The sequence below is a fragment of the Homo sapiens genome, chromosome 4 (genome assembly GCF_000001405.40).
Source record: "Homo sapiens chromosome 4, GRCh38.p14 Primary Assembly".
Lineage (NCBI taxonomy): Eukaryota > Metazoa > Chordata > Mammalia > Primates > Hominidae > Homo > Homo sapiens.
Window position 1 is genome coordinate 23,783,038 of NC_000004.12, and position 17,748 is coordinate 23,800,785.

At 37.0% G+C, this 17,748-nt stretch overlaps 1 protein-coding gene across 26 annotated transcripts in view, besides 1 other annotated feature; it reads right to left on the bottom strand.

Moving 5' to 3' along the window:
- Window positions 5,103–6,302: an enhancer, noted in NCBI's record as "MED14-independent group 3 enhancer chr4:23789763-23790962 (GRCh37/hg19 assembly coordinates)". NCBI's record gives its function as "activates an origin of replication core promoter dependent on BRD2, BRD4, P300/CBP and CDK7 cofactors, and independent of MED14, by STARR-seq in HCT116 cells {active_cell/tissue: HCT116}" and the evidence as "EXISTENCE:reporter gene assay evidence [ECO:0000049][PMID:35650434]".
- Window positions 8,984–17,748, bottom strand: part of PPARGC1A (PPARG coactivator 1 alpha) — a 680,885-nt gene continuing 672,120 nt past the window's right edge. For all 26 annotated transcript variants that reach the window (NR_148982.2, NR_148986.2, NR_148981.2 and 23 more), the window contains one exon: window positions 8,984–12,888. Coding sequence is in view for 19 of the 26 variants with exons in the window: in NM_001354827.2 (NP_001341756.1) it covers window positions 12,785–12,888 (104 nt within the window). In the remaining 7 variants the exon portion in view is untranslated. The remainder of the gene's footprint in view (window positions 12,889–17,748) is intronic.

Sequence of the window (17,748 nt, forward strand, 5' to 3'; positions counted from 1 at the left end):
GCCTCCCAGTGTCCTTTCTAGACAGGGCCCGGCCATGCAGAGGTATGTGGGAGTGGGAAGGTGAGGAGTGTAGCAAAATTTCTTACTTAAAAAAGAAAAATCCAAGAACCCATTCTCTTAATAACTAGGTATGAGTTTCCATTTTCTGCTGTGATTTTATGACCTCCAGTTCCCTTGGATCAACTTTACAACCACTCAATAAGCAAGAGAAGGGTGTGGATCAAGGGTCGAAGACTTTTAAAGCTATTGCATAAATGCACTTAAGCATGAGCCAAAGTGATAAATAGGAAACCAAGACGCATGTCAGGAATGCAGCAAAGAATGAGTAGCTGGGACACTTTGAGCAGCTGTTAAGGCAACTCCAAACCCCTGGAAAGAAGGATTTCCTTCTGGCTTACACCAAGGCTCAATTGCTCTAGTTGCATTTGCATTGAAAGGCACTACTGCCAAATTGTACAAGAACACTTATAGTAGAAAAACATGTAAATTGTCAAAAGATACAAAATAATACTGCATCTCATTTGTGGATATACGGAAATGTAGTTAAAGAGAAAAAGTGAGTAGGCATAACACATACTAACTATTGGGGAGAGAATGCTACTGAGGAAGAAAGGAGAATAAAGGGATAGGTATGTGATTTAAGTGCAATCTTAAGCATATTGAATAAAATATTAACATCTCATAAAGCTGGGTATGAGATACATGGGGCTCAATTCTATTATTTTATGCACTTTCATGTTTATTTGAAATGATTTCTAATTAAAAGTTAGAAACACTTAAAAAAAGAATCAGTCCCTGTTTCGCAGCCATTGGCAAACCAGTCATTTCTCAAAAAATTCTTCTGTCTTAAGATCACAAACTCTGGAGGCATCACGCTACCTGACTTCAAACTATACTACAAGGCTACAGTAACCAAAACAGCATGGTACTGGTACCAAAACAGAGATATAGATCAATGGAACAGAACAGAGCCCTCAGAAATAATGCTGCATATGCATATCTACAACTATCATCTGATCTTTGACAAACCTGAGAAAAACAAGCAATGGGGAAAGGATTCCCTATTTAATAAATGGTGCTGGGAAAACTGGCTAGCCATATGTAGAAAGCTGAAACTGGATCCCTTCCTTACACCTTATACAAAAATCAATTCAAGATGGATTAAAGACTTAAACATTAGACCTAAAACCATAAAAACCCTAGAAGAAAACCTAGGCATTACCATTCAGGACATAGGCATGGGCAAGGACTTCATGTCTAAAACACCAAAAGCAATGGCAACAAAAGACAAAATTGACAAATGGGATCTAAGTAAACTAAAGAGCTTCTGCACAGCAAAAGAAACTACCATCAGAGTGAACAGGCAACCCACAAAATTGGAGAAAATTTTCGCAACCTACTCATCTGACAAAGGGCTAATATCCAGAATCTACAATGAACTCAAACAAATTTACAAGAAAAAAACAAACAACCCCATCAAAAAGTGGGCGAAGGACATGAACAGACATTTCTCAAAAGAAGACATTTATGCAGCCAAAAAACACATGAAAAAATGCTCACCATCACTGGCCATCAGAGAAATGCAAATCAAAACCACAATGAGATATCATCTCACACCAGTTAGAATGGAGATCATTAAAAAGTCAGGAAACAACAGGTGCTGGAGGGGATGTGGAGAAATAGGAACACTTTTACACTGTTGGTGGGACTGTAAACTAGTTCAACCATTGTGGAAGTCAGTGTGGCGATTCCTCAGGGATCTAGAACTGGAAATACCATTTGACCCAGCCATCCCATTACTGGGTATATACCCAAAGGACTATAAATCATGCTGCTGTAAAGACACATGCACACATACGTTTATTGCAGCACTATTCACAATAGCAAAGACTTGGAACCAACCCAAATGTCCAACAATGATAGACTGGATTAAGAAAATGTGGCACATATACACCATGGAATACTATGCAGCCATAAAAAATGATGAGTTCATGTCCTTTGTAGGGACATGGATGAAATTGGAAATCATCATTCTCAGTAAACTATCGCAAGAACAAAAAACCAAACACCGCATATTCTCACTCATAGGTGGGAATTGAACAATGGGAACACATGGACACAGGAAGGGGAACATCACACTCTGGGGACTGTTGTGGGGTGGGGGGAGGGGGGAGGGGTAGCATTGGGAGATATACCTAATGCTAGATGACGAGTTAGTGGGTGCAGCGCACCAGCATGTCACATGTATACATATGTAACTAACCTGCACATTGTGCACATGTACCCTAAAACTTAAAGTATAATTAAAAAAAAGATCACGAACTCTAGGCTATTTTGATTAAGGTTCATGGAATTCTGAAAATGAAAGTTTATGACCACCTTTCCTTCTTTCCCACTTCATAATCTTAACTGACCTCATGCTGACTGAGGATGACCACTGGATTGGAGATGGGCCTCTTGTATTGCAATGTTAGAAACTGAGCCCGCTTTTCCCTACAACTGATGCCAGGTGCAGCAAAGACACTACCCTCAAAGGGCGATCCATAAATTAGAACACTGAGTGTCTACCGATCAGTATCTACAGTAATCCTAAGATTTGATTGTAGACAGGTTAGCATTGCAGAGAGAAATCCAAATAAACATATTTAAGAAATCTTAAGAAGGTCTTCTATCATGAACAGCTGATATCCGAGCTAGCATTGTGTCATGACAATGAATGTAATCACAGAAACAAGGAAGCATTTCGTCCAAAGGTGGATTCTCCACGTGCCTATCGCTTGTCTGAGGATACTGTAAGAATCTCTGGAAAGAGGGGCTCAGTTTCTCACACTGCAATACCAGAGGCCCGTCTCCAATCCAGTGGCCATGCTCAGTGAGCATGAGGTCAGTTAAGATTATGAAGTGGGAAAGAAGAAAAGTTGGTCATGAACTTTCATTTTCAGAATTCTATGAACTTTAGTCAAAATAACCTAGGGTTTGTGTTCTCCAAGACAGACGAATTTTCTGAGAAAATGACTGGTTTACCAATGGCTGCAAAATCGGGACTGATTATTTTTTAAGTTTTTTTCTTATATTAGCCCTAAATTGAAAACTTATTTATTTACTTATTTATTTGAGATGGAGTCTCGCGCTGTCACCCAGGCTGGAGTGCAGTGGCACAATCTCCGCTCACGGCAACCTCCACCTCCCAGGTTCAAGTGATTCTCCTGCCTCAACCTCCCAAGTAGCTGGGATTACAGGTGCACACCACCACGCCTAGCTAATTTTCATATGTTTTTAGTAGAGTTGGGGTTTCACCATGTTGGCCAGGCCGGTCTCGAACTCCTGACCTCAAGTGATCTGCCCGCCTCAGCCCAAAGTGCTGGGATTACAAGTGTGAGCTGCTGCGCCCAGCCCAGAAACTTTTTAATAGTGCTTGAAAAACCATAAAAAGCTCTTCAATTTGATTATTTTTGTGATTTAACTTCTCAGTGGTAAGAATATACCATTTTATACCTCCAAATCCACTTTAACTTATGGAAGAGGTTTCTACCTCTTTGTAAAGTTGGTTATCAGCCCTTGTAAGTAAGATCGTACACCTTGGAATCACAGCACTAGGTCATTCCTGCCCATTAAGTATGAGGATCTCTGGCCTCAACCCTCATAGACATTGGTCTTACAGCAATATACTTTCCACAAAATGCAATATATGTAGGTAGGTGGATAGACAGATAAACAGATGGATAAATAGATGATAGATAGATAGATGATAGAAGATAGATAGATACACAGATACATAGATATATAGATACTCACAATAAGGATTCTGGTGAGAGTGTCCTACCGAAGCTATTACAAAATATATTTTTTAATTTTTTCTTACTATACTGCCAACTAGATGTGGAGTTTCTAGTACGTTGGAGAAGTTCCATCAATATAGAATGATGAATGCAATACAAGCAGATTTTGGTTTCAGTCAGACGGTAGCAACAAAAGTACACAAATTTTAACAATTAAATACCTCTAACAGATTTCTTTTGAAGATTAATATTTTATTCCTGGAGGCATTATATATAGGACGAGACTTTCAAAAATAAGTTTTAGGACCAACTGGACTTTGCCCAAATCTGGGCAGTTTTCCAGCTACCTTAACCCTCCATTTCCTCCTCAATAAAATGGGAAGAGTTGTATACCTACCTTACAGTTTGTTTAGGAGGATTAATGAAGAAAATTCATGTAAACAGCTAAGTAAAATGACTAAAAGATAAATCCACAATAAATGTTAGCTAATACCATCATCATCTTTGTCATTATCTTCACTGTTTTAATCACATCCTGAATTCACTGGACTTTCAAATGGAGGGCAGCTTTTCATATTTGCTTTCTTACCAGTACAGGAAGATTTCTCTAATTTTAAAATGAGGATGTTAAGAGGTCTTATTGAGCAACATCATTACCTGAGGTCCAATGGCTGGGATACAGGATGACCAGGTGTGTCACTAAGCGCTGATTCTAGGAAAGGGAGTCTCCAAGTTGATCAAGTTTCTAAAAGGAGCTGATAAAGCTAAGTTTTTAAGACAGCAAAAACAAGCAAATAACGTCTTTAAATTATTGCAATGCCATGAAGTTATGTCTCCATGAAATATAGCAGATACGACTTTTGAGGGGGCTTGAGTTTAACCTTCAGAATGCTGAAAGTTGGTGAAGGTTCCTTGCTGGAAATGGCTACTTTGAGATGGTAGAACTGAAACAAACAATGAGAAGAAAATAGGGGGGCCTCCTCAATGCATTATTGAAATCTAAAGAGCTCTTTGTATTCTATGAATGTAGGGATTATCTTTTTATCATTCCACAAAATTAAAGCTTAAAAGTTCTATCCAAAAACCTAGCTGTGGAGAAATCCTCAAGGGTCTCCCATTAACGTGGTAGCCAGGAAGTACACAGGATTTTAATCAAAGGCCAGCGGCTGTCTATGTGACACAGAACTACCCTCACATATAGAACCAATATGTGAGGTTCATTCCTTTCTTCACAATTCTACAGCCTAGCTGCACAATTGCCTATTTTGTCTATATAATCTCATGGAATGAGTTGGCATACAAGGCAAATAAGAAACCACGGGAAACCTCTGTCCAAACCTTGCTTCGTGCCTGAAGTTCAAATGTGTTTGGTTAACCTTCTATTGATTCCTTCTCTTTCCTTCAGGTGACCTTTTTGGTCTTAGTTTTTGCCATGGCATGCCATGGCACACAGTGGCTCAATGAGACTCTGGCACCAAGTGACAAAGAAACTCTTATGAGTTGTCTATGAATTATTTCATTCATCAGGTGCACACATTGGCACTCCCTTTAATGCCGCCACCCCTGCCACTGGAAATGGCAAAAAGTCAGCCCAACAGATAGGTACTTCCCACCCTCCAAATACTGAAGCCAAACAGTGGATGGTGAACTCCAATCTTTGCTTTCTGTTCAATTGTTTTCCTGTTGGATAGTCGGAACTGCAATTCAGACTGTTGACCCTGGAAAAGGCAGCTCATTGAATCAGTACCAGGATGCTTTTCCCATGTAAACAGATAAGTGGAGGAGAATGACGCCATGCATTGCACTTGATCATTAAATTGCCTGACATGAAAGTAACACGGCTCCATCACATGCCGTGTGACCAGTTTACTAACTTACCCTTCTCTAGGAAGCAGAGTAATTAATCATCATTCTGTGATAGTGTATACACATTCCTGCCAACAAATAGGGAAGTGCTTACAGAGGGCAATACTTCTAAGCACTATGAAACATTAGTCATACATCTGATTAAAGGGTATAGTGATCAAGCCGAAAACCTAGTAGATGGTTAAACTAAGAACAAGCACGTCCTAATTTTCTTTTAAGAATTAAGTCAGTCTTTCAAGCGCACTGTGAAGCTATGAGAGGAATAAGCAGGGGACCTGCTTGGAAATGAAGTGAGAAAGCAATGATGATACGAATGAAGACAGGACTTGATTTTCAGCAACACCAACGTCCATCAAAGGAAAGTACCTGTGAATTTCCTTAAATGACTTGCTGGAGGGCATTTTGTGGTAACTATAATACTATAGCCACTTTTTTTCATCAATTAGTATTGTTAAAGAGAAGCTTGACTATAGAGTTCCTAACAGCAGCAAAAAATAAATTCCCTCCAATTAAGTAGTCTAATAAGCTATTTAGGATTTTACCACTTAACATTCTTTCCTTCCCATTTAATTTTGGCTTTCACTTGGATGTCATCTTGTTGAAAATCCATCACAGAAAACTATGTGGAAAAAAAAAGATAATGTTGCTAAGTGCCCCTGATGTTCAAAAACAAGTAGAAGCACAATATTTTTTTTAAATCATCCCAGGATTTTTCCTAATAATTCAGCTTCTTCCTACTATAAATTAATATATGAAAATATATGAAAATGGTCAATATGCAAATTCAAGTATCACACTAGCTACTTGCCTTCAGTAAGTGCTATATGCATAAATTTGAAATGATACAATATTTTAAGGTCCTTGATTATAATAATGCCTTGGTGTGCATATGTGCATGTATAATTACATTCATTTAATTTAATCATGAAAATATTATAGGATCATTTGGTTTTCTCCTCTAAAAGTTCTCTTACTCTTTTCAATTAATTAATTTCACTCTGCCCCTTTATAAGTCACCTAATGGTAAGTAATGGGTTTTGAGCTGAACAGAATATGGTCACATTCCTCTGGAATTAATTATGGACAGAAAAGAGACATGTGGGAAAGTGGTGGCCTCTTGCCTTTAGCCTACATCCTAGTCATGAAACAATGTTATGGCTTTTCAGTCGAACCTGGTCCTCAAAATATTCACATTTCATAATCATTTCTTCTACAAGTTTCCAGTGTCCCCAGTGCTGAGAATTCGCCCAAGGGCAGTCACCTGATTACGACAGAAGAGACCTGGAAACCAGCCCATGTGACCCCGCATTCCACATGCTTGACTAGAGTGGAGCTTTTGGGACTCTGCATAGTTACTGGAATCACATGGAATATAACAAGGGAAACATGGGGGTGGAGGACATTTAACATTCTCCATGCACTAGGAGAACAGATAACGCCCCAGTAAGTGGAAAATAAAAATGGGCCATTTTGAGTGGAAGGGAGGAAGCATAACGTGAAGGTTATGTCTTACCATCCTTCCCCTACAAGAAAATCTTATTTTCCCTCTCACAGAAAATCTGTATTTCTTTTCCCCAACATGCTAACAGAGACCGGTGAACAGAAATAGGCTGCTTTGTGTCCATCAATAGAATCTATATACTATCTTTTCCCCCAGGGATTAATTCAGCTTTTGATTAAATCTTTCTGAGATTTAAATCATGATGTTACAAACCTCCAAGGAACTCCTCTATGAGTTGTGACCTTCTTTATTACTCTCTGCCGTTTGATAAAGTACAAAGATTGATTTATAATGGATTGTAGTGTGTTTGAAAACGGAGTAGCAACGAAAATTGCAAAATATAAGATTAATATAAATATTGCAAATGGAATGTTTTAGTTAAAATATTCTATAACTAATACTGAGTTATAAATGTGTAGCTAGTAACACTACAGTCGAGTCAGTATAGTAACGTTATTAGGGCTGTAAATTATATCCAATGATTAGCTAAATAAACCTACAAAGAAGAGAAAACCGACAATGCTAAAAAAGAATTTCAATTCAATATCATATTGTATACAGTTTAGACAGATTTGGTTTGGAGGACTTTTGAATTGAGACAATCTTTTTTTAAAAAAAGCTATATCAAATGTTATTTTTGTCAGCCCAATTTTGGTTTTAATAATTATTTTGCCATTAGTATCAACAAGAATGAAAGTGAGTCAATGTTTTGAGGACAATATGAAATAAATCCTTTATCTCAATCAGGATATTCCAGTACCAAACTAGCAGCTACTAATGCTGCTTCTGAAAATCCCTCATTTTCTCTCCGCCCTCAAAAGACTTGTTAGGTTAAAAAGTTAAGCATTTAGGGAAGAGTTCTAATGTCCTTGCTGGTTCCAACCGGAAGATTAAAAATGCCTTATGCAATTTAAGCAACAATAGAAGACAAGTCAGGAACTGAGACTTATCTATTGAAACTCAGGAGTGCTTGGTATCCACAGTGGCAGATAAATTCAGTATTTGGGTAAGATAAGATAATGGTAGATTTTTATTTTCCATTTCCATAAAATAAATAATTGATGAATTTTATATTGGTATAAAACAATCCATGGGGAGTGTATCTTATGTTATTTAGCAGATTTCAATGCACTTCTGATAGCTCTTATCACATTTCCAATATTTACAAACACTCTTTTTCTCTCTAGGAGATGGAAATGATGGAATATAATTTAGCCATCTTTCCCCAATGTTGCATATGTTGAGTCTTGCAATGCAAATGATTGGCAATGGGAGCAACCATTTGAAATTGGGCAAGGGCATTCTCTGTCATTAGGACCGTCATCATCTACCAGCCACAGTGGACATCCTGACAGCACGATGTGTCTTCAGCTATCAGCTCATCCCATATTTAACCAACCCGATGACTTCCATATGATGGGGAACTGCATCCTGTTACAAGTCTTGGAGAAATATTCAGTCCATCTACAACAAAATCGCTTTCTATACTGAATATTCAGTGAGTTTTTTCCCTAGGGGAAAGAGCTTCTACTTAAAAATACACACTTCCCAGGGTTAAGTACAAAAATAGAGCTAATCCATTTGATACAATCCCCTGTCATTTTTCACCTCTGAACGTTCGTTATAGAAACCACCACGTCTGCCTTTGCCGTTTAGAAAAAGACAAGATACAGAAGATGCACGTTACCTTAGAGCTGAAATGCATCCATGAATATGGAAAAGCAAGGAGAAAGGGAAAGAGAGCCAGAGAGGAAATAGAATAATAATAAGCGAGTAATGGGTACTGATCTGAGAAACATGCCAGGAGTTTGGTTACGATAAATAAGAAAAGCAGAAGTAGATTTGAAACATTCGTTTCCCTTTATTAGCTCAGTGAGGCTGATGTGTACTGCACATTTAAAAAAAATCACAGGAATTTTCATACAATGAATAAAACCACAACAATACATGTAGAATTGGCAGGTGGAAAAAAGGCCCGGCAAGGGCTCAACTAATCGCTCACTTTCCCTCTTCAGCATAGTTCAACCAACAGTATTACACTTTCACCTACAAATCTTAAAGTAGCTCCATCAAATCAGCAGTTCACATTATTGAAAATGTCTGTCACATAGGTACAAATTTAGAATCATCACATTATAGTACATGGCTATTCTAGGTCATCTATAGATCAGGTCTTAGACTACAGTGATTGAAGTTCTCATTACAGCCATCAAGAAAGGACACATAATCATTACCTACTGGAAGCTCACATCTAAAGGCATGAAAAGGTTTCCTTTTATCAACTGACCCAAACATCATACCCCAATAGTGCAAAGTTCCCTCTCTGCTGCTTTGAATGTTGACAGCCCAACTGTTGTTCTCGGAGTCGTTTAGCAAAAAATTGATTTTGTTGCACTGGAAGAATTATTCTGCTACATCTCTTTTAAAAAAGAAAAAAATCCACATTACTAAAGCACCAGTTCGGTTACCAAAATTGTAGATGTGGTACTTACCACGGCATGAAGGCAATGGCCCACGGTCTTCTAAAAATCCTACAGATCTATGCTGAAATTTGCCTCCAGTGATGATGGGGTGCACGTGTTCATTTGAAATATTCTCTCCCAAAAAAATAAAAATAAAAATGAGAGGAGCACAGCTTACATTTTGATGGGCTACCCACAGTGTCTGCAGAAGATACAAAAGCTCCACTAATTCTAGATGCAATTTGAAGTCCATTGAGGAAAACTATCTTCATGGTAACAATATTTGTCAGGCTGGGGGTAGGGGGGATAAATTAATCCTCAATATGATATCTGTAGTGCTGTCTTTTGATAAGTAAGAAAAGAAACCAAGTATTCCACTCATGTCAACAATCCAGGGCAAAAAGGAGAATGTATTTAAAATTGGTTCACAAAAATTTAAAGGCAAAATAGAGAACACATGTGGTCCTTGAACACATAATAGGATTTACTAAATCTCGATTTCTTAAAAATAATTTATTGCTCTTAATAGTCTTTTTATTATTATTCTACAACAGAAGATACTCAAAATTCAGAAAGAAAGACTGTAAACTTTAGTTTGGCGTTCACACAGTTAAAATACCTGCATTTAACCTACAGAACAACAAGAATTAGGCGGATTAAAGATGTGTTACTGTTGTAACGCAGAACCTGTGAACAAGTTCTTTCATTTCATAGTATTTTTATTGCTTTCTATCTACTTAGAAATAAGAAGCCAAAAAATCAAGCAAGCATCCGACAGGACAAACAGTGGATTCACTCAGAACACAATATGCTGGTGATAAATGAATGCAGCTATCAAAATTAGCTGCATTGGCCTGGGGGTGAAATCCATCTTACAAGATCGTGTTGGGCGAGAGAAAGGAAAAGAACAATTGAGTAGTAGGTGTATCATGTCTTCCAGAAAAGTCATGTCAGCCAAACAGTAATCGAATCTCAATTTAGAAACTTGAATACACACTCCAAATGTTACTGAATTCCATTCCAGGGACTCCACACTCAGATGAAATCCTGATGATCAAAATGGAGGTTTTTCTGAAGTTTTTATTAAATTTAGCAGAAGCAATGTCATCAAGAACAACACCATGGTCACGTCAGAGGCCATGCTAGTGCAAGTAGAAACACTGCTTCTGCAAAAGCTGAATTTCCCAAATGAAGCACTTACACTCCAACCTGACAATTGTCATGCATCCTAGGTAGAAAATTTCCACTGGCTTTATTATTTTCATCATCTCATAATTTATAATAAATAGGCTATCTGCAACTGATAAATATGTCTCTTTAGTAAACAAAGGAATGAAATATCAGTATTTATACAGGATGCATAACTGTAAAAAATACAGATAAATACCATCGTCATACTCTGCCAAGGGAAAGAAATACTGGCTTCAAAGATAGTCTTCAGACACACATTAATTATTGTAAAAATCATACTATAATTATTACCTCAGCATTTTGTATCAAATTAAAATCACAAAAATTAAAACAAAACAGCATTTTAAAAAGATTTTTGACTTCTAGTTTCAAAACTACTGTTGATAGAGAAAATAAAAACATTTCTTAATGGTTACCCATTGAGAGACTTTACATAAAATCATGATATCTTCTAGAAAAATTTTAGATGAGAAAATTTCATTCCCCTAACAAATCCAGTGTATAAAACTTCAAAGAAAAACAAGCGACAAGAAAATGTGGAAAAATATCGCAGAAGTGGTTAATACCTTTAGGGGACTAGGATATTTCTTGACAAGATGCTTAGATTGAAGCTCACCTAAGGGATGGATGTGCGGAAAGCATCATTTTGCTCTTGTTGCACTCAACAGACACACACACTGTCTTTTTGTTTTTACAATCAAATATATATAAGCAGTAAGTTCAGCTTCTAAATATGTTAGTGTACAATAATTGTTTCACCTCATAATTACATTTGAATATTCTTGATTAAGAAAAATTTAGCAGTTTTGAAAAGAAGGCTGCATTTACAGTGCATAGCTGTAACAAAAAAGAACATTGTTGTATAGTATATACATAAAATAAAAATACTCCATTTAACATCTGTAAATACTTAACTACATCAGAGAATGTAGCAATTACACTATCTGAACACATCTCAGAGAGTTCTACCCAACTCTCATTAGTAATGTAACCCGGTGTCCGCTCCTCAGAAAGAACCGCTGAACAAGCTGCACGCTTGACCATTGACAAGGCTTTTGAAATTTGCAGTGGAAGATCAACATTTTGGACATTTACATGGGTGTCAGGATTAAGGATGAACTACAGAAACTTCAAAATGTTAGGAAACTTTAGCATTCTGGTGCCCGCAGTATCCTCTCCCACCCAGATTCCATGGCAAAAGGAAAAAGAAAAAAAAAAGAGAGAGAGAGAGAGAGAGAGAGAGACAGGATATTAGTTCTATGGAACCTGTGGTTTCTTCAGGATTGTCATATAATCATTACGTTATGAGAGAAAGCTTGCTTCAAGTTGATTCTGCACTTTCTTAAAAAAACAGAGTACAAAGGCTGATGCCCAGACATCAGCGGCTGTCATTTTAGGGTGGTTTGTGGTTGGTTGGTTGGTTGGTTGGTTGTTAGTTTTCTTTCCTTTTTAATTTATATATATATATATATATATATATATATATATATATATTTCCTTTTGAATAGAATACGAACATTTTGAAGTTCTAGGTTTTAAGCGTGTCTTCATGGAACTGCTGCCATTTGAAATGGTTTGCCCTTGCGCATTCTGGTCAGGTGCCCCCAGTCCTCACATGTACCCACACATACTTCCCCTAAACCAAGCACACACACCACACACATACATACACACACACATACATGCACACACGCACACTCCATCACCAAGAGACTCCAGGAAAAGCAAAGCTGACACCCATGAATAAACATGTGCTTACTGGATATCATTCTGTCTCTTGCCTCTTCAGCAGCTGTGTTCATGTAAACCATTGTTGTTATTGTTGTTGTTGTTCTTGTTGTATTGTTGTTGTTTTGTTTTGTTTTTGTACAGAGAGTGTAAAGTAGGAGAAATTCCTAAGTATGACTTGCAATAGTCTTTAGGGAAGGACGCGCTGTCCCATGAGGTATTCGCCATCCCTCTGTCATCCTCAGCTAGGGAACATGTTACCTGCGCAAGCTTCTCTGAGCTTCTTTCAGTAAACTATCAAAATCCAGAGAGTCATACTTGCTCTTGGTGGAAGCAGGGTCAAAGTCATCTGAGTTTGAATCTGAAAAAAAACACAAGCCAGTTTAGATACACACTTTGCTGATGGCCATTAACTCAATCATTCCAATTCAAGATTACTGGATTCGATAACAACTCTTCCAATCAATATACTTTAGAAAACAATAGTCAGATTTTATTGGATATATATGGATATATAGGAAGAGGATGGGGAGTAGTGAGCTTTCAAAAACACGCACCTGTTGACTCGTTTAGGCTTAAACACCCTGGGAGTTAGGCAGAGCACACGTTAATATATCTCTGGCAGATAACCACCCTCCCCTTCCCCCGACACGTCAAATGACTTGCCCATGGTTCCTCAATAACTTAGATGTAGACGTGAGAGTACAAGCTGGAACTAATTTTCCTATTCAATGGGATTAATTTAATTGAGCATAAAATCCAGTAGAGTATGAGAGAAAGAATCATGAGAATTTCCCCTAAACTTCAACCTGATGCTTCTCTTTGAGGCAGGAGGGGACATATGATGTGGTCCTCTACTTCCGTACCTCTTGGCCTCCCAGAATTTTTGGTGCAAATTCTCCCCAAATTGGAAGGTTGAGAGAAATGCTTCACATCCCAGGAGAGTAAATTCGGAAAGAAGAAATAAAGTGCAGGTATAAATAAAGCCATGCCCTTCTTGGACTCTTAAACTAGTCCAAGTAAGCTTTTGAGCAGTTTCACTGCTACTTCAAATAGACCTTAACAAAATAGATATGTTTTAGCAATATAGAAAGCAAAGTAAAATTCTGTTAAATATTCCTGGTTTTTCTCCATTGACTTCTATGAAAAAGCTAGATATTTCTGCTGGTCTTGCAAGTAACAAAGGGGGGCTTGGAAATATAATAAAAAGCCTCTTATAAATACGTTAATTCTTTTGAAAACATTTATTTGAAGGAAAACAAAACCATTCTGGAAAACTAACAATTCTACCAAAATACAAGAATTCCCATGCTTTTTCCCAGAGTAAATTACAAAATCGAAATGGTCAAAGTAATAGAAGGATATAATACTAGATACTACAGAGGCATAATCGTTGACCTAAAATGTTGTTTTGCTGACAAGATTGCAAACCAAGCTCTCTAGCTCCGGCCTGACCATCCCATTTCCAAAGTTTCAATCTACCTTTACATACCTAGATTTAAAGACAAAGAAATGTCTTTATTTATGTTTTCCTTTCATTCTGATCACCTTTGGTCTTTACTGAGTTTTTTTCAGCAAGTTTTTTAAGGTAAGAGCAACGAGAACAATTACAGTCTCAATCATAAAAAACGGAGACAAAACTGGCCAATCTTTCCTCAATAGCATCTTAAATAGTCAATTCTTAAATTACACTGGCTTCAACGCTTCTCTTCATAGGCTAATGAATGGTTTTCTTGTATTGCTAAGGCCTCACAAACAACTGCTGTTCAAATCAAAATCTTTTTTGTAGAGACAAAAAAAAAAATGTCTAGCTCATTGCTAGAGATTAGTCTGAAATCAGAATTCCACTTGCATTGTAGATCAAGAGGGAAGATTCCCCCAGTGATGGAGTCTGTGTGATAAAAGTCAGCCTGGAACCATCAGGGACATACACACATACCTTTCCTTGAGGAACTCTTTGAGAATATTTTAAATTTCCTTACTTTGCAATATTCTAAGCAAACTCTAGAATTTCAGTGTTTCTGTATTTTATTAGCAAATATTTAAAAAAATTGTGAAATAGTAGTTCTCAAGAGTTTCTTCACTGTGAAATATAGTGTTCACATATATACCCACTTATACAGGCACACTGTTACTCAGAAAACAACCAAAAATATTTTTTGTTGCATGAGATAGAATGTGGTTACATTTAATTTCTGAGGCAATAACATCTACTCCACCAATTTCTCTCCCGCTAATGAAAGGATATTGGAGCACAGTAAGATATAATAAAAATGTTATAGGTGTCAGGCCTCTGAGCCCAAGCTAAGCCATCATATCCTCTGTGACCTGCACGTACACATCCAGATGGCCGGTTCCTGCCTTAACTGATGACATTCCACAACGAAAGAAGTGAAAATGGCCTGTTCCTGCCTTAACTGATGACATTGTCTTGTGAAATTCCTTCTCCTGGCTCATCCTGGCTCAAAAGCTCCCCAACTGGGTACCTTGTGACCCCCACTCCTGCCCACCAGAGAACAACCCCCCTTTTTCCTTTACCTACCCAAATCTTATACAACGGCCCCACCCCATCTCCCTTCTCTGACTCTCTTTTCAGACTCAGCCCGCCTGCACCCAGGTGAAATAAACAGCTTTACTGCTCACACAAAGCCTGTTTGGTGGTCTCTTCACATGGACACGCATGAAAATAGTAATAACTCAAGCCACTCTAATTTTTCAAAATAAATTGTTAGAAATAATGATACTGTATTATTTGAAACAAATCACATCACACTTATATTCCCAGCACCTGGAAAACTGTTGGCACAAAGGAGGCACTCAAATTAATATTTGTTGAAGGAATATACTAATCTCAAACACCAAAATATTATTAAAACCATGGTTGAAAATATTTATATTGGGATGTGGGAACGATTTATCAATGAATGGCAAAGAAATACATAAAGTTACGTGTATAATCAAGAATACTGATAATACAATACATTCATTTCAGTTAATGAATAATTTATAATGTATGTGTCATTTATTTTTTTAAATGTTTAAGTTATGTAACATAACTAATTCCTAATCAAAACTATTACATTCATAATACTGACCCATCTTTCTGTTTGGATCCTGTAGTCCTACTTTAATTTCTCTTGGTCTTTCCCCTCTGATTTTTTTTCGTTGAGGTCTTTAGAAAGATCCATTTGCTTATAAGACAGTAAATAGAAAGACACACAGACTACTGATTCATGGCAACTAGAACTTAAATCTGGGCTTCACTGTTTTAACCTTGATCAAGTCATTTTAATCTCTCACTCTCATTTATAATACTGGGTCATAAATAGTAGCTGAAATCGTTATGTTTTGCTCTAACAATATTGTAGTCACCATTATCTAGTTTCAGTAGTAGAGAAATAGGATGTATAAGCTAACTTAATTTGGGGGAGCAAGTAAACAGAAAGAAAATTGGTTAAATCTATCTAGAATGATAAGTAACTTTCCTGTCTTGGTAAAACTAATCTGTGTCACATCATTTTTGCTTTACTATTGTGACATATGTGTATGCTCCTAACCCCTGAGTCCAGTATATTCTTATGCCCTGAAATGTGCATGAACACTGAATATGGTGAGCACAAGAATATTTGAATTCTTCAGGGAACAAAGACAAGACACAGGAAAAATGTTTTGAGTTCCAAAGCTGATTCCTAGAGTCGATTCTTCCATTTTAAAACGACTTTACACTTCTAACTTCTCATTCCCATCATTTTAAATTATAACCATAGCCACTATTTATTGAGCACCTATGTTATGCCAGACACGTGCTAATAGCATCACAAACATTTATTTAATCTTCACAATAACACTATATGGTATTTTACAAATGAAGAAGCAGAACTGAAGGGGTTGAATTCTTTGCCCAACGGCAGTGGTAAGTCAGATTTCAATCCCAGGTCTGCGGGATTCCAAAGCCTGGCCTCTTCAGACTATACAATGATGGAGCTCAGAAAAAAACTACCTTTGTGCCATCGTACAGCTTGAGGGAATTGGAAAAATCCATCCTACTACAATGCACATCAAACATACTTTTCAGAAAATACAGAGCGAGCTTAGCAATGGCAAAGTTTCTATTGCTGCCGGCTAGGCAGGGAGATAACGAGAGAGGAAGCATCCTTCTTAGAAATATTTCAAGGAGGCTCCAGTTCAATTTGGAAATACCATCCAATCCTCCCTCTCTACCAGTGATGAATCGTGATCTAAAGGCCCCTCTAGGTAGCTTATTTTAAACTCTAGATGTTTTGAGAGACTAGAAACACCCTGGCCTTCATCACTGAAGAAAATAAGTCAAATCAACTCAAGACTTCAATCCGTCTTGACTGTTTTTATCAGCCAACATTTGAACAAATGACTTGCCACATTCTATATTTTCATCCCTAGCCTGCTATCTCTCTAACAGTCAGCTGCCTCTCCACTGCTTCCTACTATCTATTTAGCTTGTGGAGTGAATTATAGCATATTCCCTGTGAACAATGCACATCACCTGTATCAATTACTCTAGGAAGACATCCCTTCGTTGGACAGAAGAAAAAAAATCCCTGTATTTGTATTTGTTTCCTTCTTTTTACCAACCCAGAGAAAGTGCATATAGATATCTAATAATGATGAGGACTAGATTTATATGTTAATTTCATGATAAATATTACAAATAAATTTAATATAATTATGTCATATGCACAAGACACTTATCACTTTCCTTCCTCAAAGAATTTAAAGGCTTACTATGCACACATTAGATGGGGAATGACATGCAAAGGAACAAAATTAAAATTGGAAAGGAAATTAAGATGTCCATTTTAGCATTATTTATAATATTGAAAAATTAAAAATTAAATGTTTGGCTATAATGTAATGACTAAATATAATGGTACTATTCACTCAGCAAAATACTGTACAACCATTAAAGTATGTTAATAAATTATTTTTAATCTTGTGAGTCACAGCAGAACACGAATTTATATATTAATTGAGAAAAGTAGAATTTGGAAGTTTATATATATATAAATAAATATATATATAAATTCAACTGTAAGAAATTAGACATGCTGAGACAAAATACTGGAAGGCAAATCACTTCGTTGGTAATAGTGGTTATTCCTGGATGACAGGCTGATACATGATTTTAATTTTTTTCTTAATACCTTTTTATATTTACCATATTTTACCCCTTGAGTCTGTACAG